Source organism: Homo sapiens, chromosome 13 (assembly GCF_000001405.40).
Source record: "Homo sapiens chromosome 13, GRCh38.p14 Primary Assembly".
Lineage (NCBI taxonomy): Eukaryota > Metazoa > Chordata > Mammalia > Primates > Hominidae > Homo > Homo sapiens.
In genome coordinates, this window is record NC_000013.11 from 52,733,111 (window position 1) to 52,758,819 (window position 25,709).

The 25,709-nt window shown below is 44.6% G+C and overlaps 1 protein-coding gene across 7 annotated transcripts in view, besides 1 other annotated feature; it reads right to left on the minus strand.

Moving 5' to 3' along the window:
- Nucleotides 1-6,710, minus strand: part of CNMD (chondromodulin) — a 36,557-nt gene extending 29,847 nt beyond the window's left edge. For all 7 annotated transcript variants that reach the window (XM_047430070.1, XM_011534900.3, XM_011534899.3 and 4 more), the window contains exons 1-3: nucleotides 6,520-6,710; nucleotides 5,921-6,061; nucleotides 109-249 (exon numbers count right to left, since the gene is read on the minus strand). In XM_047430070.1, coding sequence (XP_047286026.1) covers nucleotides 109-249; nucleotides 5,921-6,061; nucleotides 6,520-6,672 — 435 coding nt within the window. In that variant the 5' untranslated portion in view covers nucleotides 6,673-6,710. The remainder of the gene's footprint in view (nucleotides 1-108; nucleotides 250-5,920; nucleotides 6,062-6,519) is intronic.
- Nucleotides 4,280-4,781: an enhancer, noted in NCBI's record as "NANOG hESC enhancer chr13:53311525-53312026 (GRCh37/hg19 assembly coordinates)". NCBI's record gives its function as "activates a minimal SCP1, AML or CMV promoter by ChIP-STARR-seq in primed H9 embryonic stem cells {active_cell/tissue: H9 hESC(primed)}" and the evidence as "EXISTENCE:reporter gene assay evidence [ECO:0000049][PMID:30033119]".
- Nucleotides 6,711-25,709: the final 18,999 nt, after the last annotated feature.

The following is a 25,709-nucleotide window of genomic DNA, read 5'->3' on the forward strand; positions in this document are numbered from 1 at the left end:
AGAACAGTTACCATTTGGATGTGTGTGAGAAACGCTGCTCCTCCTTGAATTAGAAAAGTCCCGCAGGCTTGCCTGGTTAAATTCTCTAAATGCATGAAATATACTTACATTCTGGAAATCATTAACTGCAATTGCTTCTTCAGCTCCACTTCCCATTTTAAAGGTCTCCAAGTTGTTCCCAGCGTCTATTTCCATTGACCCATCTTGTAATTTCCCATTGATACTCATGGTGTAATGGACATTGTAAATCTGAAAGTGAGCATAAGAGTTAGTGATGCTTTCTTTTTTGAGCAATTCAGGGCTTATCTTTAGAAGGGCAGTGTATGAGGTAGTGTCCATATGTTTCAGAGATACATGAGATAGTCCTTAATAATAATACATTTATATATGATGACTTCATTCATACAACAATCAGTTAATGCAATGATTTCCTTAAAAATACCTTAAGAGTAAAGACTTTGGTTGCCTCTGACACCTATTCCAATAGCTCCATAATTTGCAATGCTGGCTGTACTTTAGAAGCATCTGGGTAGACTCTCTGGGTACCATGCCTGGGTTTCACCCTGGACAAATCAAATCAGAAGCTGTGGGAAGGGCGCTTGGGCATAGGTCTTTCTTTTTCTAAAGCTCAATTCTATTATGCATCTGGGTTGAGCACTATTGATGGATAAATGGAAATTGAGGAGGCAGAAGGTTAATTGGGCTCCCAGCTGAACACGTCTGCAGTGGCACCTCAGTTTCACAAGTTGTTTTCATCCTTTGGTCAAGATTAGGCATGCAGTGTCTCAGGTATATGGTATATGGTATTAGGTATATGGAAAGGACTGCAGACAGGACCAGGGTATGCTTGATATAGAGCAGCATGTGTGGAGAGGAAGGCCAATGTGCATGTTTGTTTCAGCTCAAAATGGTAGTACTCCCTGAACGATTCTATGGGGCAGGCCCATGGTGCTGTAGGGCATTTTGTTATGAGATGTGTGGGGAGTGTGGAAGAGGGGAAGGGACCTGGCACTGCAGAAGAGCATCGGTCCAGTAATCAGGAAAACAGGTGGCCACACCACTCATCTCTGGATCTTGTGAGTTGCCACGAGTGTATAATGAAGTTGGACCTCATAGGTGGCTTTCATCTATGTCCTTAGAACTGTTGGGATCTCCCGGGCATGGCCTAGAGGTGAGGATGGCACTGTGGCACTCTGTTCTCTCCTGTCCATCCATAGTCTAACCAGAGTGGCTCTGCTTTTTCTGTCTTATGTGTTGCATTTCTGAGTAACATTTTGTTAGAAAGACAAATTTCAATACTTAAAACATTTCTTTTTTAAAGTTTGCCACTAATTAGCTGACCTAAAGGGCTCAGACACCTGATTACTGCACTGGTTTCAAAATAACTCAGACGCTGCTCCTGCTCAGTGTGCTGCTGTCCTGGTAGACCTTTCTGTGTGGCAGAGCTAGGAGGTGGGTTTCTTTTTTTTTTGGATTTAGATGCATAGGTATATCTATATATCTTACATATGATATATTACATATCATGTATAAATTATAGATTATATATACACATATATATAAATCTTTAAAGTGGAGGAATGAGAACTGATGAAAAACTGTTGCTACTTAATATCAGGTCAGCCAGTCAAAACTGCAAATAGCTCAGATCCAATTCAAGTCTGATTTTTCTTCCTCATTATGAAGAGTGACTGCTACATGCACAAACACTGGAAAAAGGATCTGTTATTGTTGGATCCATTTCTTGAAGAAAACTCATTATTACAAGACCCACAGTGCACTATTTTATTATCAGCAGAGATACAGAAATGGCTTTGCTATCCAGCACCCTTTTAGGAACAGCATTCATTCAGCAGGACAGAAAATACCAGTGTCCTTTTTCAGCTCAACCATCCCTCATTGCCCCTCCTTCCCTGTCTCTTTCTGAAGAACTTAGATGTCTGCAATTTACTGTCTCCTAGGCTTCCCTGATCACAAGAACCACTCCTGGGGGTTCTGATTTAGTGGAGCTAGAGCACAGCCCACCAGTCTCTTTTCCCCTTTCCCCTCAGGTGGCCCTTATGATCAGCCAGGTTTGGGAAACCTGTTTTCTTTGGCTGAGACGGGACTCCTGCAGGTGAAGTTTGGAAAGAAGGCTCTGTTCTGTCCGGTGCTCTCTGAGCAGCCAGTGTTCATATGGGTCAGTGATGACTGTCAGAAGGAGCCTGGCAGGAAACACCCATGTGAGTGTCTTCCACTCATATGACAAGAGGTTCTGTGTTTTTTTTTAAGAACATTGCACATAAGCTTTTACTAGTAAAGCAATGCAACATTTAAGAACATAACCATTTCTAAATTCTTAGCAGTTCTTAAGGAGATAAGGTTGTCACACTAGAAGAGTGGCCTGTGGTTTGAATTTCACATTCCTCCACCACTACCCCTGGCTGTCTTCTCCCCAGAAAGCCTCCCTAACTAGGTGCAGGGATAGCCAATCTTTTGGCTTCCCTGGGCCACAATGGAAGAAGAATTGTCTTGGACCACACATAAAATACACTAACACTAACGATAGCTGATGAATTTTTAAAAAAAATCTAAAAAAAAAAAAAAATCTCATAATGTTTTAAGAAAGTTTACGAATTTGTGTTGGGTTGTATTCAAAACCGCCCTGGGCCGCATGCAGGACCACAGATTGGACAAGCTTGACGTAGGGCATCTTGGTTGTGCAGCTGCGGCCCACCTTTTTTTTTTTTTTTTTTTTGAGATGGAGTCTTGCTCTGTCACCCAAGCTGGGGTGCAGTGGCACAATCTCGACTCACTGCAACCTCCGCCTCCCAGGTTCAAGCCATTCTCCTGCCTCAGCCTCCCAGGGAGCTGGGACTACAGGCATGCGCCACCACGCCCAGCTAATTTTTTTTTTTTTTTGAGACGGAGTCTTGCTCTGTCGCCCAGGCTGGAGTGCAGTGGCACAATCTCCACTCACTGCAAGCTCCGCCTCCTGGGTTCACACCATTCTCCTGCCTCAGCCTCCCAGGTAGCTGGGACTGCAGGTGCCCGCCACCAGGCCCAGCTAATTTTTTTGTATTTTTAGTAGAGACAGGGTTTCACTGTGTTAGCCAGGATGGTCTCCATCTCCTGACCTCGTGAGCCGCCCGCCTCGGCCTCCCGAAGTGCTGGGATTACAGGCGTGAGCCACCGCGCCCGGCCTTTATTTGCATTTTTAGTAGAGATGGGATTTCACCATGCTGGCCAGGCTGGTCTTGAACTCCTGACCTCAAGTGATCCTCCTGCCTTGGCCTCCCAAAGTGCTGGGATTACAGACGTGAGCCACCACGCCTGGCCTGCAGCCCACCTTTTATGTGCACTGCACCATCTGCATGGGGACAGCAGTGAAGCTGTCCCCCTCCTGAAGCTACTAGGGGAGGATGTGGGGGGAGGAGGCAGTCCAGTTTCTAACATACTAGACTCTGAGCTGGGGACGAGGCTGGGCTGTTGGAGCAGCAATTACCTTATCTGCTCTAAGTCCGTGGAGCTGTGGACACCCAAGGCTATTTTTATCCAAACAAGATGAAATTTATTATTTGCCAAAATTCTGCTCAATATGGTGCCTTTTACAGCCAAGGATATTTGCTAATGAGTTTTTAATAAGGCCTATGTTCTATAAGATTAATTACATAATGTTTGGGAAAATGTCTAGAAAAATTAGTCTGAGAGGAAAGGCCCCAAGCAATGATCTCCTTCCCTCATCTCACAGGGTGGGGTTGTCAGTTATCTCATATTGGTGGAAATTTCCCATATTTCAATGCCTTGTTCCATTTACAATAATGTGGATGAAAAATGGCCTCAATATTGGAGCCCAGTTCAGTTGTCCCCTGATTATTATTACTCCAGTGCTTCATAGTCCTCCAGCTAAATTTCAGTAAACCTGTCCTAAGGGGATTTACCCACATGAAAAGGATAGGAGGTGAATTACAGCTGGTTCTCCTCTATAAACCAATATAGAGGAGCCGAGGCACAGATAATCCCCAAAGAGTGGATAATCCATTTGGTTTGACAAGTCTTTCTGTTTGACAAAGACTTACCTTTTTTGATTACGTTTTGTCTGAGCTATTTAGATTTGTATTCAGGCAAAGCAGACCTGTGCATGTGCTATGCCTAGGTGGTGCAAAAATTACTCTATTTAGTATTTTGTGATTTGTTTTTCATACTTAAGTCATATGGATCAGGGAGAAAAAAACTATCATGATTTTCTTCATTCTCCTGTCTGTATAGGATATAGCAATAATTTTGATTGTTGACAATAAAATGTGATTCACTATTCCTCTGAATTCTTAGCATTTAATACTGCTCTCCTGAACCAGACAACCAACCATCTTGCAGTAAAGTAAAATATATGAAAAAAGGGAGCTGTGCTTATTCAGTATGATTGTTTAATCTCTCTTTTTAGAAGCCTGTCAGTTAGTGATGTTTACCTTGAATAATTAAATGACAAATGGTATTCATTTTAAAATATATCATGTCCAGAATCTTTACCAAAAAAAAGCATAGCTATTGTTATCCCCCATTGACCTATACCATTGAGGCTTTGTTATTTAAAAGATAGCATTTACATTCTAAAACCACAGAATTTCCCAAAGAGATGACAATCTAAACCCTGCTATTAATGGAGATGTAGATATTGAAATCATTCTCTTATTCACATTTGCTGTTTCAAACATGAGCATCTGGCCCAGCTTCTATATTTAAAATACAAATACATTAAGGCACTTTTCAAATACCCACAAAATACAGTGCAATTCTGATCTTACAAATCGATGCTTGTAAATTTGATATAGTCTCTAAAACAGACTCGGTGCTAAATGGCATGCTTATCTACATTAGACATTTGAGTTAAAAATACAAATTATGCAGTGACTGCAGAAGACGTGATGTGTAAAATGGTTGAATTGCTTTCAGCACCATTTTCTGTAAGTACTGGAATTCGTTCATGCTTTGCATTTCATGGTAGGAGAGAGGAAAAAACAGCAATCACCAATCCTCTGAGGATAGTGATTATGAAAGAGCCCTTTGTGTGTGCCCTGGAGATGGAATTCTTTTCCATTAGTTGAAATAAGCTTATACCAGACCTGGCAGTGGTCATCAAGATAAAATGCCCCCTTTTACATAGGTGAACACTTTCAGAGTATTTAGAGAACACACTGGAGCTCTGCCCAGTCAACTTAGAAACAGTCTTTATACTCCTCGAGAGCCGTGGAGCTTTAAAATAAATAGTTGCATACAAAGAAAGTAGGACAGCAGTTAGTAAAACACCTACTATTAAACCACATGTGATGACTAGGCCAGAATTAATTGTTAAAGAGATTTTCCACCTTTAAGGAAGTTAGACGTTTTGTTTGTTTGTTTGTTTTTTGTTTTTGTTTTCCAGAGAGAGAAGGGAATGTTCATGGCTAGGTCACAAAAAAACCTTCTGAAAGGCAAAAATTCCTTCCCAATGGGTCTGAATATGGGTCTGAATATTCCTCCACTATCTTTGTCCTGGATTTTAAACCCACAGCCTTTCTTAGCAGGGACAGGCCTTAGAGATCGTCCAGTTCCATTTTTTCCCTTCAGGACGAGTACACTGAGGCCAAAAGGTGACGTGCCTTCCCCACGGTCGCGCCACTGCTTAGTGGGAGATGAGCCGAGAACGGCCTTTCTCGGACCGTCCACTACATTCTCCCCTACTCTACGCTTCAATCTTCTCCCGTGAAACCTTCACTTGCTTTTCTACAACGTTGACCTAAGGCGGAAAGCCGCGTGCCAGAGTGGGATGGGAGAGGGGAGCTCACGCTGGGCCCGAGGGGCCCGCCGGCAGCCGCGCGCCCCTCGCCGGCCCGCGCTCGGGCTCCCCCTAGGGGCACCATGGGCGACACGGGGGTCCCCGCGCGCCGCCCTCTGGACTTACGTGACTGTCGCTCCCCTTCCAGAAGTAGAAGGCCCCGATGGCCCCAAAGAGCAGCAGCACAGCTCCCGAAATGAGGACCACGGCTCCCACCTTGAGCAGCCGCGCGGGGCTGGAGGGCTTCACCGTCAGCGTAGCGTACGCCTGCGGGCCGGGGCGGGAGAGGGACCGTCGCGTTTGTGCCGCCAGCACCTGCGGCCCCCAGCGCACCCGGGCCCCACGCGGTAGCCCCCAGGGAGTGGGGAGTCGGGCGGGAAACAGCTCGCCCGGGCTCCTACGGGTGCCCCTTTCGCCGCGCTCCCTCCCGAGGGTCCTTTGCAGTCGGGCGTGGAAGTGGGATGAGCAAACCCCGCAGCACAGGGCCTTCGCCCCAGGACCTGCACCCTCTACCGGCCACGGGACGTCCCTCCGCACCCGCCTGTGGATGCCGTGACCCCTGCACACTCATACGCGTGGGGCGACATCCCACCCACACATTTGGGACCCAAATTTATCCCCCCGCCAACACACCCATTCGGTGGCACGCACCCCTGAGTCCGAACTGTGGAACCTGATACTCACACAACCCAGGCCCTGCGTGTGGAATCCCTGGCGGTACTCACCGGGGGGCTGCAGAATTCCACGTCATCAGGTCCCACCAGGGCAATGGGAACTTTGTCGGAGTTCTCTGTCATGTTTGCGGCGGGAGGAGTGAGGCACTTGGAGACTCCCTGGGCACCCTGGGATCTGTCCCGCTGCCCCGACGTGCAGGGCATTTCAACGCCGCGCGCACACACGGTGCACGGTCCCGCCTGGGCCAGCCCAGCGGTCCCCACCCCTTCCAGCGCCTCACCTCTCTCCTCCCTTCTCTCTCCCGCCGCGGGAAGCTCGTCCTGCACTCCCGGATGCCCCCTTTCCTCCTCACTCTATCCTGTCTACTGGCCCCCCAAACAGCATCCCGGTGACTCTGAATGTGTGGGGGTGGTTGCATCCCTCAGAGCGGGATGCTGAATCCTGGGACCCAAAGAAATACTCAAGTGCCAGAGCAATTAGCCATGCACCGGAGGATGTCTTAGAATGTCAGCGGGCTCTGCTGTGACAACTGGCTGGAGGCCATTTCCTGCAGGGTCTTTGTAGGTGTGTGTTGGGGTGGGGGTGGGGGGAAGATGGCTCATGGAAGGTGAAGGAGAAGACAACAGAGTGGTGCAGGTGGACAGGGGACACTGGCCTAAGAGTGTAAGGGTTAGGCCACCTTCTCACTGGCCTGGCATTGCTGGATGGCCCCTGGGACTGGAAAACAGAGCAGGGTCTTAGGGATGGCTCCTTGCCACCAGTTTTTCTAGGGTCTGGGTACAACTGCAGCAAAAGTGAGAGCTAAGCAGAGCAGGGCTGGAGGGAAGGAGTTGGGGAGACCAGAATAAAAGTGCATGCTGGTTGGTTGAATAAATTAAATAAGTGCAAACAAAAGCAACAATGGCAAAGCACACACACACACACACACACACACACAGAGTACTGATGTATCCAAAGGAATAACACAAATGTGTGTGTGTGTGTGTGTGTGTGTGTGTATGTATGTATGTATATAAAATTTTCACTTTTGGAAATGCCATCTTCCAGTTCCAGGATACATGGTACTTCATTTGGATCCAGGCTTCCTTAAATTGCGTTCGATTCTAGCTTTGTGCAGAGCTCTCTGGTGAGGTGTAAGTGAGGAGCACTAGTGCATGAGAGGGATTGAGGCTTCCCCAAAGGGCAGCGGGAGATTGCATGTGCAGGACTGCAGAAGGAGAAAGTGTTGAAGAATCATCCAAGACATGTGATGAAGAATGAGGTGACAAGCATGATGACCTGGGGCTGGGAAGGAGGGGAGAAGTGGAGGAGACCACTTTCACAGAAGAATCGATAGGACTTGGCAATTCCTGGGCTGTGGGAACTGAGTTTTCAGACCTAGGAGGATTGGGAGAGTGATAGGAACCCTAGGGAAGTGAAAAAATTGGAAGAAACAGTTTTAGACATGTTGAGCTTGATGTGGGGATGAAAAGTAAAAGAGCCAAGGAAATGTCCTGAGCCTGCATTGGAATCAGCTATGGAAACAGCTGTCTGCACATCACACTAGACTTAAGGTGCTTGGAAAAAACTCCAGCAAGATCTCCAGCCAGGGCTCATCCCTGGGGCACTGCTGAGGCAGAGTTCAAAGACCTCTTTTCACAAGGGCATTCTTCACAGGAATTTTGGTGAAGGAATAAGAGAAGTAACTGTCAGAGAGGTGGGAGATGGTACAATATAAAGTAGTACATGTAATTTTAAAGGCACATTCAAGAAGGGTGGGTCAGCAGTGTCAAATGCTGAAAAAAAATGAGCACAGAGAAAGGCCTTGGAAGGGCACAACCAAGAGGCCATGGGAACCAGCGAGAGAGTAGTTCCATTTGCTTCCCTGGGCACAGAAGACACATTGCAAAGGGTTACAGAGTGATTAAAAATATTTGCAACTTATACCACAGACAAGGAACTAGTTTTCTTATATAGTGTTTTCCTAGGAAAACCAAAAGACCAAAAATGTAGTAGAAAAAATGGCAAAGAATGGAAACAGAGAGTTGGTGAAGCAAGAAGTAGAAATTTCTCTTAAATGTAAGAAGAATGAACAACAGCATTATTTTGCCTTTTTTTTTTTTTTTTTTTTTTTTTTTTTGAGACAGAGTCTTGCTCTATCGCCCAGGCTGGAGTGCAGTGGTGCGATTTTGGCTCACTGCAACCTCCACCTCCCAGGTTCAAGTGGTTCTCCTGCCTCAGCCTCCCAAGTGGCTGGTATTACAGGCGCCAGCCACCATGCCTGACTAATTTTTCTATTTTTAATAGAGGCAGGGTTTCACCACGTTCGCCAGGCTGGTCTCGAACTCCTGACATCAAGTGATCCGCCCACCTTGACCTTCCAAAATGCTGGGATTACAGGCATGAGCCACCACGCCTGGCCACAACTGCATTCATACAAGGAAATGCAAATTAAAAGTAGACTGGTTCACCTATGAGACTGGAAAAACATAAAAACGCTTGTTAAAACAATCTGTTGAAAAATATGAGGGGCAGTGAATTTATGGACTACTGTAGTGGGTGAATTGGTACAACTTCTATGGAGAACAATTTAATTCCAAAATGCAAAATGCAGTTTCATTTCTATGGATTTATCCTACAGATGCACTCACAAGGGTGGAAAAATCCTGCAGGTGCAACGATGCTCACTGCAGCATGTTTGTTAGAACAAAGCACTAGTAATATACTCAATGTCCAGAGTAGACAATTTATGATCCATTCTCACCGTGGGGGTTTGGCAGCCCTTTAAAAGAATGAGGCAGCTTTGGATGTAGTGATGTAGATAGAACACTCTCTAAGATACTTCAAGTGAAAAAAGCAAAAGGTAGAAAATGCGTAGAAATGCTTCCATTTGTATAAAGAAATACAAACAAGAATAAATGTAAGTATATGCTTTCTGGAAAGATAAGATGCTGGTAGTGGGGGTTGCCTCTGAGGAAAATGTGAAGCTTGGGGAGACCAGTAGAAAGAAGATGCTTAACTGTGAACCTTCTGAAATGTTTTGAATTCTATATTGTGAACACGCATTAGCTATTCAGGAATTGAGTGAATAAAGCACTAAATAACAGTGAGTAGGTGGGGAGGAAGTGAATGCTACAAATGGAGACAATTCTTTTAACAACTTTCAACTTGAGGGGAAGAAGGATGAATGTAAGGAAGTTTTAGATGAGGGGAGTTAGAGGATCAAGGAAGGTACCACCTTCCCTTGATGAACCTTGAGAAGGAGAGAAGGACTGGAGGGAGTGAGTGGTGAGTGGATACTTTGGGGCCAAACAGACATTGAAGAGAGGGTGAGGAATCAGGGGAAATGCAAGACCTTGCCTCATTCATACATTTTTAACACATAATATACAGAAAGTAGCTGACCAGGGCGTGAGGGGTGAGGAGTGGGTATGGAGATCAGTTGCCTCCTCTGAGCACATTCTCCTAAAGTGGCATATTTTCAACAATTTTAAGGTAGTGTGTTCACATGATGATGGTTATAGATAATGAAAAGGCAGTAGAAAAAGCAGTAAGGGAGCAAGACTGGGAGGCTCATTGCTGTGGTTTGAATGTGTTTCTCAAAATTCATGTGCTGGAAACTGAATTCCCAATGCAAGTGTTGAGAGGTGGACCTTTAAGAGATGATTAGGTCATGAGGGTTCTGCCTTTGTGAAAGGATCAATGCCACTGTTGCAGGAGTGGGGTAGTTATCATGAGAGTGGGTTCCTGATAAAAGGATGAGTTTGGCTCCCTTTCCCTTTCTCACATGGGCATGTGTTCTCTCATTCTTCCACCTTCTGCCACAAAGGCCCTCACCAGGTACAGCACCTTACTCTTGGACTTCCCAGCCTCCAGAACCATAAGCCAAATAAGCTTGGTTTATAAATTAACCGGCCTGTGGTATTCTGTTTTAGCAGCACAAAATGAACTTAGACACTCGTGAAGAATGAAATCAAAGGGGTGCCCCCTTTCACAGGCTTGCTTTCTTCTACCCACTCTGCTGCTGGGCCCACCTGTAGGCCCATTCCCTGGAAGTTATAACCCAACTCTGCTCTCAGGCACTGTGCCAGGTCTGGGTACACAGTAATGAGCACATGAGACATGGCCCCTGCTCTTGATGAGCTTATAGAATAGTGGAAAACATGGTCATTAAGCAGGTAATCACAAAATATGATGTCATTGCATTTGTAACACACAGTATGAGGGAAAAACATAGGCTACACTAAGATCATATAACATCTAATTTACCCTGAGTGGGGAATGGGGAAAGCACCTGAAGAAGTGTCATTTAGGTTGAAAACCGAGAGAAGGGGAATTTTCCAGGTGGAGATGGGTGAAAGGGTGTGGGAAATGTGGAGGGACAGCATGTTAGAAGGCCATGAAATGGTAGAGTTTGGCATTGGAAAAAGGGAAAGCTAGATCTTAAAGAATAAAAGAAAGAATGGCCAGAGATGACACTACAGAGAGAGACAGTTACCTTGGCTAATAAAGTCTTCTAGGCTATGTTAAGAATTTTGAAAAATTTCCTCTCAGTATCAGGAAGTCATTGAGGGGTTTAAAGCAGTGGAATGGTGTGATCTGGTTTGCATTTTAAAAATATCATTTTGGCCACTGTGGGGCAGAATAATCAAACTGGAGTGGGCAAAGTAGAAGGGGTAGTTTTTTTTTTTTTAAATTTTTAATTTTTATTTTTTTGAGACAGAGTCTCTCTCTATTGCCTAGGCTGGAGTACAGTGGCATGATCTCGGCTCACTGTAACCTCTGCCTCTCGGGTTCAAGCAATTATCCTGCCTCAGCCTCCCGAGTAGCTGGGATTACAGGCGCCCGCCACCACACCCAGCTAATTTTTGTATTTTTAGTAGAGACAGGGTTTCACCATGTTGGCCATGCTGGTCTCAAACTCCTAACATCAGGTAATCTGCCCGCCTTTGCCTCCCAAAATGCTGGGATTACAGGAGTGAGCCACTGCGCCTGACCTTATTTTAATTTTTTAAAGCCAGGGTCTGGCTCTGTTGCCCAGGCTGGAGTGTAGAGACTCACTGTAACCTTGAACTCCTGAGCTCAAGTTTTCCTCCTGCCTCAGCTTCCTGAGTAGCTACAACTACAGGCATGCACCATGCCTGATTAATTAATATACACATGTATTTATTTTGTAAAGGCAGTGTCTCGTGACGTTGCCCAGACTAGTCTTGAACTGCTGGCCTCAATCGATCCTCCTCCCTTGGCCTTTCAAAGTGCTAGGATTACAGGCATGAGCCAATGAACCTGGCCCAGAGGCAGACTTTTTGGGAAGCTCTTGCAGTGGTCCAGGCAAGATATGATGTTGGTCTGAACTAGAATAATTGTAAGTGATATAGATGGGAAGAAATATTAATCCGAAGGAGTCCATTAGGATTTCAGATCCATGCTGGAGGTAGAATCAACACGCTCTGGAGACTGGCTGAGTGTGAGGTGAGTGAGGGAGGAAGTCAGGATGACCTCATGTATCAAGCACAAACAACTGAGTAGATGTAGAAAGCACCGGATGAGTTTTGGACATGTTAAGTTGAAGAGCTGTGAAAATTCAAGTGCAGATGTTGTACTTGATAGTGCCAGTAAATAAGCCGAGAAGACCATCTGCTGAGACAAAGAGGCTGGAGGAGCCAGCAGGGCTTAGGGAGTGTGGGAGAAGTTGATATCAGTTGTATGAGGAATACAAGAAAGAATTTATAAGAGCAGCGACCATTTGGGGCTGGAGAACATGAAGGAGCCAAGACTCCCCATCAGCACTGAACGAACAGAGCAGGTTAGAGGAACCTGGAAGATGTTGGGGGTATTGGATTTTTTTTTTTTTTTTTTGAGACGTGTCTCGCTCTGTCAGGCTGGAGTGCAGTGGCGTGATCTTGGCTCACTGCAACTTCCGCCTCCCAGGTTCAAACGATTCTCCTGCCTCAGCCTCCCGAGTAGCTGGGACTACAGGTGCATGCCACCATGTCTGGCTAATTTTTGTATTTTTAGTAGAGACGGGGTTTCTTCATGTTGGCCAGGCTGGTCTCCAACTCCTGGCCTCAAGTGATTCTCCAGCCTTGGCCTCCCAAAGTGCTGAGATTACAAGCGTGAGGCACCGTGCCCGGTAGAGTATTTGATATTGAAGTCTGTCTTGAGAAGGAGAGAGAGTCAGGGGCTAGGTAATTTTAGAATCTGGGTTGGGAAGGAAAGTCCACGAAGTGAGGAAGGGTTCATGAACCAGGAATAGGGAAGGACTGGCATGATGATGGTGTCTGGATGGGACAGGAGAGGGAGAAACTAAGAAGGTTGTAATCAGAGAAGGAGAACTCAGACTTTGAGATTTTAGGGGTGGACCAATTTTGCGTAAAAATGTGGTCTAAAGTGTGGACTTACTAACAAAGGATTGGAGCTGATGACACATCTAGGAGTTGAGGATATTGAAGGAAAAGTGTTGAAATTAGCCTGCATTTTGAAGTTGCTGTTTTCATCCATTCAGGCTGCTATAACAAAATACCTTAAATGGGATAACATATAAGCAATAGAAATTTACTGGTCACAGTTCTGGAGGCTTGGAAGTGCAAGACCAAGGCACCAGCAGACTTTCTCTAATGAGGGCTCCAGACTCTGGTTCAGGATGGAACTTTTTCACTGCATCTCACACAGAGGAAGGAGCAAACAAGCTCCCTCAGTCCTCTTTATAAAGACACTAATTTTAGGAGCCCGTATGACTCACCATCTTCCAAAGGTCCCTCGTCCCAGTACCACCACATTGGGGATTAGGTTTCAACATATGAATTTGGTAGGGAGGACACAAACATTTATACCACAGCAGTTGCTGTGGGCATGATAGGGACCCGACAGGGAAAAAAACAAAAAACCTGTGAGGGAGTTGCAGAAGTTGTGACAGAGAGTGGCAGAATGTTCTCTGTGGAACTCCCTAGCCAGAGATGAGAGAGAGAAGAAGGTGGTATGAATGGATGCGTGAATCTCAGAAGAAGAGATTTTGCAGAGAGAGGGGCCTGGAACAAAGTCCTGGAATGGATGGTGGAGAACCAGAAACAGCCCCTTGTCTCCTGGGAATCCATACAGAGCTTCTCTCTTTCAGAAGGTTTAGGGAGCAATGGAGAGCTCCAATTCATGGCACTGTTATTGTAGTTACGTTTACATACAGCTTTCCATCACTACTGCTTTCTGAACACTCTGGCGTTTAGATTAGGAGAAGGGGGGTGCTTAGGGACAAGTGGTTTAAGATAAAGGAGAGCCTTTAAGGGAATTCTACTGTGTCACTAACATAATTGCTCCAGTCAAGCAGCTGAAGCATCTCTAGAATTTTCAGATGTTGATATTGATGTTTACAACTTAGGTGGAGGGGAGGTGAGAGGGCATTGATGTCTGGCTGTCATAGGCAATTAACTTCTTTTTTTTTTGAGACAGAGTCTCGCTCTGTCTCCCAGGCTGGAGTGCAGTGGCGCGATCTCAGCTCACTGCAACCTCTGCCTCCCAGGTTCAAGTGATTCTCCTGTCTCAGCCTCCAGAGTAGCTGGGGTTACAGGTGCACACCACAATGCCTGGCTAATTTTTGTATTTTTAGTAGAGACAGGGTTTCACCATGTTGGTCAGGCTGGTCTCGAACTCCTGACCTCGTGATCTGCCTGCCTTGGCCTCCCAAAGTGCTGGGATTAGAGGCCTGAGCCACCACGCCTGGTCCGGCAATTAACTTTTTGTGCATTATTACAGACCCTACATCCTTGTGCCAATGAACTGGCTCAAAGGCTCTATTTGCTTTTCCTTTTCTACTTCCTGTCATCTAGCCTATTTGGAGGTACTGCAGGGAACATTTTTACATTGGCAAAATAAAAAAAATTGCACTGATGACAGATACACTCCAGAAAAAATAATGTCATATTCCAAAGCTAAATACCAGGTATTCATTCATTATCTGCCTTTTGGAATCATCAAAACAGGGTTACTTCCCTTTAGTTTAGCAAATTTTGAGCCTTTTGAAAGTATATTAGTCTACACTCAAATACCAGAGTGTGCAGGACCTGCACAGAGCATAGTGATATAAGACTATGTAAAAATAATTGGAGCTATGCTCTGCCCCTGCACCCCTCACGGCGACTGTATCTTGGCTTGTGGGCTCCATCTCACCCTTCCGCTCTCAAGAACTCAAACCCCTTTCAGGGGAGCTTTATGAGGCAGTTGTCTCTGGGATGACACAAGAACCTCCTCACTCTCTTCAATCTTGCTCCTTTTCATCTCTTCACCCTGTAGCGACATCATCTTTTCTGAAGTGCAACTCACATCCACTCGCACCTCTGCTCAAGACCCTTCTGTGGCTTCTAGTTCCATCAGAGTCAAGTCCAAATGCCTTTGAAGCACATCTGAAGCTCTGGTCCCTTCCCTGCTTTCCTCTTGGCCTGTTTAATTGCCTGTTGTCCCCACCAGACCATCATGTAAGCTTCTGGGAGTTCAGGTCTGTGTCTTATTTACTGTTGTTCGTTGGGCAGATGGATAGTAAATTAATACAGAAAAAGAAAAGCGGGCTGGGCATGGTGGCTCACGCCTGTAATCTCAGCACTTTGGGAGGCCGAGGTGGGTGGATCACTTGAGGTCAGGAGTTTGAGACCAGCCATGGCCAACATGGCGAAACCCTGTCTCTACTAAAAATACAAAAATTAGCTGGGTGTGATTGTGGGTGCCTGTAATCCCAGCTACTCTGGGGGCTGAGGCAGGAGAATCGCTTGAACCCGGGAGGCGGAGGTTGCAGTGAGCTGAGATCATGCCACTGCACTCCAGCCTGGGTGACAAGAGCGAAACTCCATTTCAAAACAAAACAAAACAAAACAAAACAAAACAAAACAAAAAAAAGGAAAAGAAAAGAAAGCAGGGCAAGGACCATTGAAAACATGTGCCAAGTCATTGTACAGAAGACCTTGCTGAAGAGGCTCATGTTCCTTGTAAATTGCCACTGCAGAATCATGAATGGGCCAGTCACCTATGGTAAGAGTACTTAGGTGACCAGTGGCCATCATTTTAGGTAAAAACCAGAACTTCTGCTTTGACAGAGGATTTTTGTCTTGCTTTCAAATAGTAGAGGTAGTCTGAGAAATGTAGTTTGGATTTTTGACTATTGGAATTTTTGGAATATTTCAATGATTTATGGGGATAATGGCAGAGAAAATGAAGTATTAGAATGAGCCCAGAAAATCCAGGACCTGTGATCACACATCACAATGATCATGAAACTGTTGTTGCCTAAACTGTATGACCCGTGTTGTGTTTATTTTGTGAATTCCTGATCCTGATCCCCTTTGTAAGACAGCAAGCTCCTGGCTTGCTGGGGACTGTCTTCTACATCGTAGGAACTTACCCATGTTTAACATGGTGTGTTGAATGCAGTAGATTGTTGGTAGATGTTTATTGAATGGCTGAATAGGGACTAAGTCAGTTACCTCCTTGGTGCCACAGATGATTGCTCAGGGGAATGGAGACAGACTATTTGGGAACTTCTAGACACTGTTCACAACAAAGCAATTACCACCTAAGCCCATCAATGGGACTTACCCTGGATTTCCCCAGAGAACAGCACATCCAATTAATAGTTTATTCAAAACGACTCTAACTTTTGTGACTTGCCTTGGAATCACCAAGGAGAATGGGCCAGGCCGATAATTTTCAACCAATCAGTATGTTTTTTTCCAACCATAGTCACCCAGATACCTTTTTCTGTCAAATGTGGAAAACTTCTAAGAAGAATTAGGACTGTGAAAATAGGAAAGCTGACTGAATTCTCTGTGCTGAAAGTAATAAAAATAGGAATGGAGAGAAATGAAGATGGGGAGCATTCTGAAGGGTCATTAGGTCTGGCTCCTCTTTATCATTGTTGAATAGTTATTGAGTGTCAACCCACAGCGGGCACAGTAAGCGGGTAGGATCCCTGCACAGTGAGTTAATCCATATGCAAACACAGTGACCCCAATTGCTTTGCAATCGTGAGCCACATGGCCTGTGCCCTTAAAATACATCATTTGGGCAGCTGCCAGAGGGTTGATTTATCCCAGCTGGCCAGAAACAGCCCCGAGATCATCAGCACTTTTGTTAATTGAGAGAGAGGGGCAGAGGAATCAAGATATTCCTGGGCACCAAGCATTCATTAGCCACCTGGCCTCCCTAAATTATGATCCTGCCATGATTTTCCCAGTGCTTCGACTGAAATTTTAATATTTGGAATGTATTAATAACTCAGAACATGTCATTTCCTAAATAAACGATGCCCTTCTGGACTCATTGGAGAAGAGAGCCCAGAGAATGGTTGAATAGCACAGATATTGGCTACCCAGTGAGATGAGCAGTGCGGGGGTGACCCTGGAAGTTCTATCCACAAAGCAAATACAAACAGATGCCATATATGAATGGACCTCTGGGTTAATACCCCGGCTTTCTATGCATTTGTTCTATTCACGTAGCATCTTAACAGGGCCAGCCCCAGGAAAAATGGTGAAATAGATGATAATAGTAGCTAGCAATTCTAGAGCACTTACTATGCACATGCCACGTAGATTACACGAGACCCCCACAGGGCACTGGTACATCTCATGGGGATGTTTGCTTCATAAAGGCAGGGACTTAGTCTGTCTTAATCACCTTTTTATAATCCCCAGCACTGAGAACAGTTTCTGGTACACAGTACCTGCTCAATAAATATCTGGCAAGTGAATAAATGAGTCTCCATGTTAGAAGAGGTAGTTGAGGTATAGCAGAGTTGGTAACCTGTCCAGGTTGTACAACTCTAGAAAGTGACAGAAGCAGGATTCATAACCTTGTTCACCACCAAGAGGATCCTCAGGCATCCTCTTGTCCTGGGTGCTTGAAGCCCAATCAGCCTCCCATTCAGGTCTGTTTCCATCAGTGCTTTGTTCTCAAATATTAGCCCTTGTTATAGACCGAATGTTTGTGTCTCTCTAAAATTCATATGTTGAGCCCTCACCCCCAATGTGATGGTACTTGGAGGTGGGACCTTTGGGAGATGATTAAGTTTAGATGAGATCACAAGGGTGGAGAGCCCATGATGGGATTCATGTCTTTGTAAGAAGAGAAAGAGAACCAGAGCCCACCCTCTCCACCATGTGAGGACACAGTGAGAAGGTGGCTGTTTGCAAACCGGGAAGAGAGCCCTCATCAGGAACTGAATCTGCTGGCACCTTGACATTGAACTTTATAGCTTCCAGAACTGTGAGATCTAAACATCTGTGATTTAAGCTACCCAGTCTGTGGAATTTTGTTATAACAGCAGCCTGAGCAAACTAAGGCAACTTTTCAGGCTGACTCATCAGAATTTACCTATCCTGTATCCTATTCATTTAGGACTCTGCTTTCTACCATCCACCATCCAGCTGGGGATATGACCAGCTTCCTGCCTCCCCTTTCTGCTCCCTCACCCCTCCAACATCTCTGTAGTACATCAGAGTTTACAAAGAGAGTTCACATGCAAGATTTCACATGAAGCTCAAAACCTTGTCAAACAGGCAGATAGTCATTACTATCCCCATTGTACAGATAATAAACTGAATTTGGGCAAGATCAAGGGAGTTACCACAACAACATAGCAAAGACTAGGACCCAGGTCCCCTGACTCCCTAGCCCAGTGGCTTCTTCCTCAGGTCCACCTTGTAGATGATATAATAATATGTCATTCACTCAAGAGTGGGTTGCAGTGTAACTAGAGGCTGATGGGGAAATGGTATGTCAACTTACACAAATGACTCCCCTGGGGCAGCATTTTTGGCAGGTGAGCTCAGAGATTTGGAAGTACTTCAGGTGAATCTGAGTTTGCAGGTATCTATTGTTCTACTCCTAAGCCTGGGGCAGGATCATTTGAAAATGAGCTGCCAGACCAGACTCGGTGGCTCACGCCTGTAATCCCAGCACTTTCTGGGGTGGATCACAAGGTCAGGAGATCAAGACCATCCTGGCTAACACGGTGAAACACTGTCTCTAATAAAAGTACAAAAAATTAGCCGGGCGTGGTGTTGGGCGCCTATAATTCCAGCTACTCAGGAGGCTGAGGCAGGAGAATGGCGCAAACCCGGGAGGTGGAGCTTGCAGTGCGCCGAGATAGCGCCACTGCACTCCAGCCTGGGCGACAGAGCAAGACTCCGTCTCAAAACAACAACAACAACAACAACAACAACAACAACAACAACAACAACAGCAAGAGTATACCGATTTTTGGCTCCAAGGAAATCATCCAAAAGAAGAGAAAAATTAATAAAAATGAAAATGATCATTGTGGAGTAATTCATAATAAAGAAAAACCAGAAACAACTTAAGAGTGAGTAGTTAAGTAAATTACATTGTGTCAATTTGATGGACTACCATATAGTCACTAAAAATTGTAATTATGCAGACTGTGTAGCATCATAAAATGTGATGATATAATGTTAAACATGCAGAGTGGAATAGCAAATTGCAAGTATACTTGATTACAACTCTAAAAATCATGTTTACATGTGGGCAAGGATTGGAAGCAAGAAGAATGGAAAGAGATGAGTTTGGCCGGTGGGACTGTAAGGGATCCCCCTTCTTTTTGAATTTGTGTTATGTTGATCTTGTTTGTACCATCTTAAAAGGATGCTGTTTGGCCCTTTTGGGGACAACTTTCAAGATTGTCAGTCCCAGGAAGGCAGATAAACAACAACAAGGACTGCAATTCTTGATTATACCTCATTGCTGGGTCTCTCCTGGGTGCCTGGCTCTGCTGGTGGGAATTCTCTGATCCACCCTGAGCATGGCTGTTTGCACAATTGCTCCCAAATAGAGCGTTGCTGCAGAAACTCAATCATGGGATGAATATTTATATGTAAGTGTGATCATATTCACAGCCATTTACTATATATTTTTTTCATTTAAAAACAACTCAAACACAGACTGAGAAACCTTTTACTTGGAATGTTGTACAGGGAATTGCTTATTAGGGTGTAGAAGTTTGAACGAGATGATCTCAAAGACCTGCTGAAACTGAGTCTAACTCATGAACCGTGTGACCTTTATACACACACGTAGAAGCTGTCAGTTATTCATAGCTATTTTACTGGTCCAGGCAGATGTAACACATCATCTAAGGAACACCATGCTGGCATGGACTGGCCAGGCTCTGGAGTCCACTAGCCCTGGGGTCAAATCCCAATTCTCCCACGGACAAGCTTTGTGACTGTAGATGAATTACTTTTTTTTTTTTTGTGAGACAGAGATTCACTCTTGTTGCCCAGGCTGGAGTGCAATGGCGCGATCTCGACTCACTGCAACTTCCACCTCCTGGATTCAAGCAATTCTCCTGCCTCAGCCTCCCGAGTAACTGGGATTACCGCATCACCACTCCTGGTTAATTTTTGTAGTTTTTTTCAGTACAGATGGGGTTTCACCATGTTACCCAGTCTAATCTTGAACTCCTGACCTCAGGTGATCAGCCCGCCTTGGCCTCCCAAAGTTCTGGGATTACAGGCGTGAGCCACTGAGCCCGGCCTACTTTTTTTCTTTTTTTTGAGACGGAGTCTGGCTCTGTTGCCCAGCCTGGAGTGCAGTTGTGCGATCTCGGCCCACCGCAACCTCTGCCTCCCGGGTTCAAGCAATTCTCCTGTCTCAGCTTCCCAAGTAGCTGGGAATACAGTCATGTGCCACCACGCCCAGCTAATTTTTTTGTATTTTTAGTAGAGATGGAGTTTCACCATGTTAGCCAGGCTGGTCTTGAACTCCTGGCCTCAAGTGATCTGCTTGACTTGGCCTCCCAAAGTGCTGGGATTACAGGTGTGAGCCACTGCGCCTGGCGAACGAGTTACTTTTTATATCTCTGAATGTCAGATTTGTCATCTGTAGAATCAGAACATCAAAACTTATCCCTATGGGCAACATGGTGAAACCCCGTCTCTACTAAAAATACAAAATAAGCTGAGCATGTGGCGCATGCCCGTAATCCCAGCTACTCAGGAGTCTGAGGCAGGAAAATCACTTGAACTTGGGAGGCAGAGGTTGCAGTGAGCCAAGATGGCACCACTGCACTCCAGCCTGGGCGACAGAATGAGACTGTCTCAAATAAACAAACAAAAAAAACAAAACACCTATCTCTGAAGGTTATTGAGAGCACAGAAGTGAGCTAACACGTGGAGATGCCCAGTGAGAGTGGCCAGCATGTAATAGGTGCTGAGTTAAATGAAGATGCACGGTAGTGGCAGAGTGGAGCAAGCTGGTGGGCTTTCACACATGGAAGCACAGGAAAAGTGAATTTTAAGCAGGGATTAAAAAGAGCATATCAATATCGTAGAAACAGAAGACTGCTGATAACATATGCCACGACATAAAGGAAAAGCTGGGAGTTACTGCCAATTTGCAAATGGCAAAAATACTGTTTCTCCTGGGAGCAGCTGTAGCAAAAACAAATGTGAACAATCAAGAGGTTCCTAACTTTTCATTTAATTGCAAAAAAAAATCAAATACGTAATCTGAGAATCACCATAGGCACCTGCTCTACCTTCTCTTGCTAAGCCAAGAGAGATCTCATCTGCAGCGATGAGTTCAGCCTTTCGTGCTGCATTTCAAATAAAAGCTTCCCTAATAAGCTGGCTTCTCAGATTGATGCCAGCTACATATACCATGTGAGCTATTTTCTGTTTTAAATCCCTGGCAGTTCTCTTGGGACCAAGATTTCCACTGACGTTGAGATTCGGTATTAATTCAAAGACTACATAAGTTACATAAGAATTAGAGAAACGAAAACAGAAAAATGATGGACTTTTATAACACACTATTAAGTTTTTTTTCCCTCATCCCTACTTTCACTTTGTTTAGGAAAGTAAAGATGTTGAAAAGAAAAAGTGGCACCTATTATTTTGTATAAAACATAAAAAGCAATAAACCATTTTGATTTCTCAAAACTATACCCTGAGCCTGTAAGAACCTTCGAATATATCAGAAACGTGGAAACTAAACTAATGAGCGTGCTCCATGAAGAGATTAAATACAGTATATGGTATTTTCAGAGTCAACAGAAAACCCACTGGGCATTTGTGGCATCTGAAGATTGGTTTTATGAAACCTACTGAGCCAAGTTTTGTGCTGAAGTCAGACCTCTGAAAAAAGTTGGACAGAGGCACTATTCACAGTACTTGGGGATTTGTATGGAAACAGTTTACAGATTTTCTGACAACCTTGTCTTTCAATTCAGATGAATGAAGCACTACTGTTTGGTCATGAGCAACTTTAATAAAAAAAGTTGTCACCAAAGCTGTTTCTCATTGGGTGCAAGTGTGGGGAAATGACAGTCTTTAAATTTTGCTTGAAAAATGAAATTATACCAGACACCAAAATCAATGCCAAAATAAAGTTAACTTTGAATTAAAAAAATAAGAAAAGTGACAGAATGCTATGTTAGGACTAATAACCTTAGGACTTTGTTAATAGATTCGTTCTTGTCTCCTACTTGGACCTTGATTTAGATTACTCTAAGAGGAGTGTTTAGGGTCTTCAGGACAATGGGATATTTTGTAGGTGGCCGCTTCAGTGTTGCTTTGAAACTACCCTACTGCATGCTTTCAATTCAACATATTGACCTGGTGGAGGGCTTAGTGATGGCATATCGAAGCATGCTGAGGTCTTCTAAAATCACAGGTCTTGGTTTCAATGTAAAATTTCAAATATTGTGCTATATATGAATGTACTTGCCTCAGTCCATTCGGTGCTGCCATTAAGGAATTATTGAGGCTGTGTAATTTATTTAAGAAAGAGGTTTATTTGACTTTCAGTTCTGCAGGCTGTACAAGAAACATGGCCCCAGGCCGGGCGCCGTGGCTCTTGTCTGTAATCCCAGCACTTTGGGAAGCCGAGGTGGGTGGATCAGTTGAGGTCAGGAGTTCGAGACCAGCCTGGCCAACATGGTGAAATCCTATCTCTACTAAAAATACAAAAATTAGCCAGGCGTGGTGGCAGGCGCCTGTAATCCCAGCTACTCAGGAGGCTGAGGCAGGAAAATTGCTTGAAACTGAGAGGCAGAGGTTGCAGTGAGCCGAGATCACGCCACTGCACTCCAGCCTGGGTGACAGAGCGATACTCCGCCTCAAAAAAAAAAAAAAAAAAAAGGCATGGCCTCAGCCTCTGTTTCTGATGAGGGCCTCAGGCTCCTTCCACTCACGGCAGAAGGGGAAGGGGAGCCCATGTGTAGAGATCACATGGCCAGAGAGGAAGCGAGAGAGAAACGCAGACGGGTGCCGGGCTCTTTTCAACAGTCAGCTCTCACAGGAATTAATAGAGTGAAGACAGCACCAAGCCATTCATGAGGGATCTGCTCACGTAACCCAAACACCTCCAATAGGCCCCACCTCCAACACTGAAAATCAAGTTTCAACATGAGGCTTGGAGGGTTAAATATCCAAACTATAGCTATACTTCTGTATGTTAAGACTTCTATAGTTTCTAAGGCATCTTCTATTTGTAAATCAGTTTAAATGGGCTGTTGGGTAGACAATTGCTCTAATACCCAATGAGCTGAAATAATCAACATGGAGCCCAAGGATGCTAAGGATTTCAAAATATCCAGCCCAACAAATGTCAGTTAAGAGGGAAGAAGATTTATTTCTCTATTCTTTTCAAGGCCAGGTGGTTTAGCAGAAAGTGCAATGGATTTGTAGTCAGTAGACCTGGATTTGAATTCTAGTAGAAAGAGAGTGAGACTTGGAATCTGGGATGTGGGTATTGAATTGACCAATCCTAGCAATGGTGAGACCTTAAAAAGGAAAACTTTCTTACTTCTCAAAGCCTCAGTTTACTTCTGAGAAATGGGCCTACTAGTAAACATTGTTCTAACAGGACTATAGGGAGAGTTCCACAGGATATGATGAATTTAAAAGCTCTTTGTGTCTTGTAAAGCACTATACTAATTTAGCCATTGTTCTTACTAGTTGTGTGACCTCGGACAAATCTCTTAGCTTTTCTGAGCCCTAGTTTCCTTCTTTGTAAAATGAGGAGAGTAACAGGAGCCTTATCCATCTCATAAATGTATCTTAAAGCTCCAAACAAAATGATGTGAAAAAAACTGGGTACTCTGCAAAATATTATTTTAACAACTTTTTCTTTTTCTTCTTGGTTTCTTTTTGAGACAGGATCTCATTCTATCCCCTGGGCTGGAATGCAGTGTGATCACAGCTCACTGCAGTCTTGACCACCCCAGCTCAAGCAATCTTCCCACCTTAGCGTCCGGAATTGCTGGGACTACAGGTGCCACTATGTCTGGTTAATTTTTAAACTTTTTTTTTTATAGAGACAGGGTCTTGCTATTTTGCCCAGGCTGGTCTGGAACTCCTGGGCTCAAGTGATCCTCTTACTTTGACCTCCCAAAGTACTGCGGTTACAGGCATGAGCCAATATGCTTGGCCTAACTTTTTCAAATTAATTTAAGAATATTTAAGTGGAATGCCCTAAGTATTATAAACTTCGGGATGATTTGATGATTTTATATCTTGTCGAATGCTGCCATTCGTTTAATTTGATCTACAGGTGATTTTCAAGATTTTAATAATCCCTTAAATAGCCAAAGGCATAATTATATTGGTGGCTTAGCAAAATGATGTTCTCTTGTTACTATGGAATTGTTTTCAACTACTTACGAGACAATCCCCTCTTGAAAGTCGACCCATCACTGTACCTACCTTTTCTCCTTTTGGTGGTGGATATCGTCTGTTTTCTAACTTCTCTATTTGCTTCAGTGATGACACATACTAGGGAGCCAACACTAGTTCCCTCATTATTCCTTTCACCCTTTGCGAATCTGGAAGAGATGGTCCCTGCTAAAAAGTTGGCATTCGTCACACAGTTTTTGTGGAACAGAAGAGCCTCTGACACACTATGGAAACAGACACATTAAAAATACCTAGATAGGGCCAGGTGTGGTGGCTCATGCCTGTAATCCCAGCACGCTGGGAGGCCGAGGGGGGCGGATCACGAGGTCAGGAGTGTGAGACCAGCCTGGCCAATATAGTGAAACCCTGTCTCTACTAAAAATACAAAAATTAGCTGGGCATGGTGGCACACACCTGTAGTCCCAGCTACTCAGGAGGCTGAGGCAGGAGAATTGCTTGAACCTGGGAGGCAGAGGTTGTGGTGAGCTGAGATTGTGCCACTGCACTCCGGCCTGGGCAACAGAGCGAGACTCTGCCTCAAAAAAAAAAAACAAAAAACCTAGATAGGTCAGGCGGGCGCGGTGGCTCACACCTGTAATCACAGCCCTTTGGGAGGCCAAGGCGGGCAGACTACTGGAGGTCAGGATTTCGAGACCAGCCTGGCCAACATGGTGAAACCCTGTCTCTACTAAAAATACAAAAAATTAGCCAGGTGTGGTGGCGCCTGCCTGCAATCCCAGCTACTTGGGAGGCTGAGGCAGGAGAATTGCTTGAACCCAGGAGGCAGAGGTTATAGTGAGCCAAGATCGCACCACTGCACTCCAGCCTGGGCAAAAGAGCAAGACTTTGTCTCAAAAATAAATAAATAAATAAATAAAATTAAAAAATAAAAGAATACCTAGATAGACAGGACTGAAGAAATTGCATGTGTGCATCTTTGAAGAAAAACCTCTCCTTGCTGTGCAGTAACATTGTAGCCTTTGTGGTATTTTATGAGCTTTCAGTGCCAATGTACCATAATGTTCACATAAGAGCCAATGTGCCTTGAAAGATTCTGTCACTGCCTTTATTCGGAGAGGGCTGGCTCAGCCCAGCTGAATACATATCCTTTCTTTAGAGAGGAGCCCCAAGACAGACACCGTTGACATTATCTTCACACTTTCAAATAAAGCAGTCCTTGGTGAAAGGCGATCTTGTTCCTATCCCAAGATCTATCAATATTGTCTCCCAGCTTGTCTTTGCATTTCACAGGGGATGTGAACTCTTCTGCATCTCTGCAAAGTCTATCCTTAGCAGGCTCTTACCTAACCAAATAGGGACAAAAGGAAGATTTTTCTTTTCTAGGGGATTTTGACTTCCGAAGAATAACTGTGAGGTTAAAGGGCCATATGAGCTGGTACAGCAAGCCCAAGGACTGAGTTATTTTTCACATTTCTGTGTGCAAAGCTCCCAAATGAAAAGCAGAAAATGGCCAATTTAGTTAAAAATTGAGAATGTGAAGTGGCAAAAAGGATTAAGTCTTTCTGAAAAGTAAAATAACAAAAGAAAGCAAGTAACAAAACTGGTTAGCAGCTACCCAAGAGGTA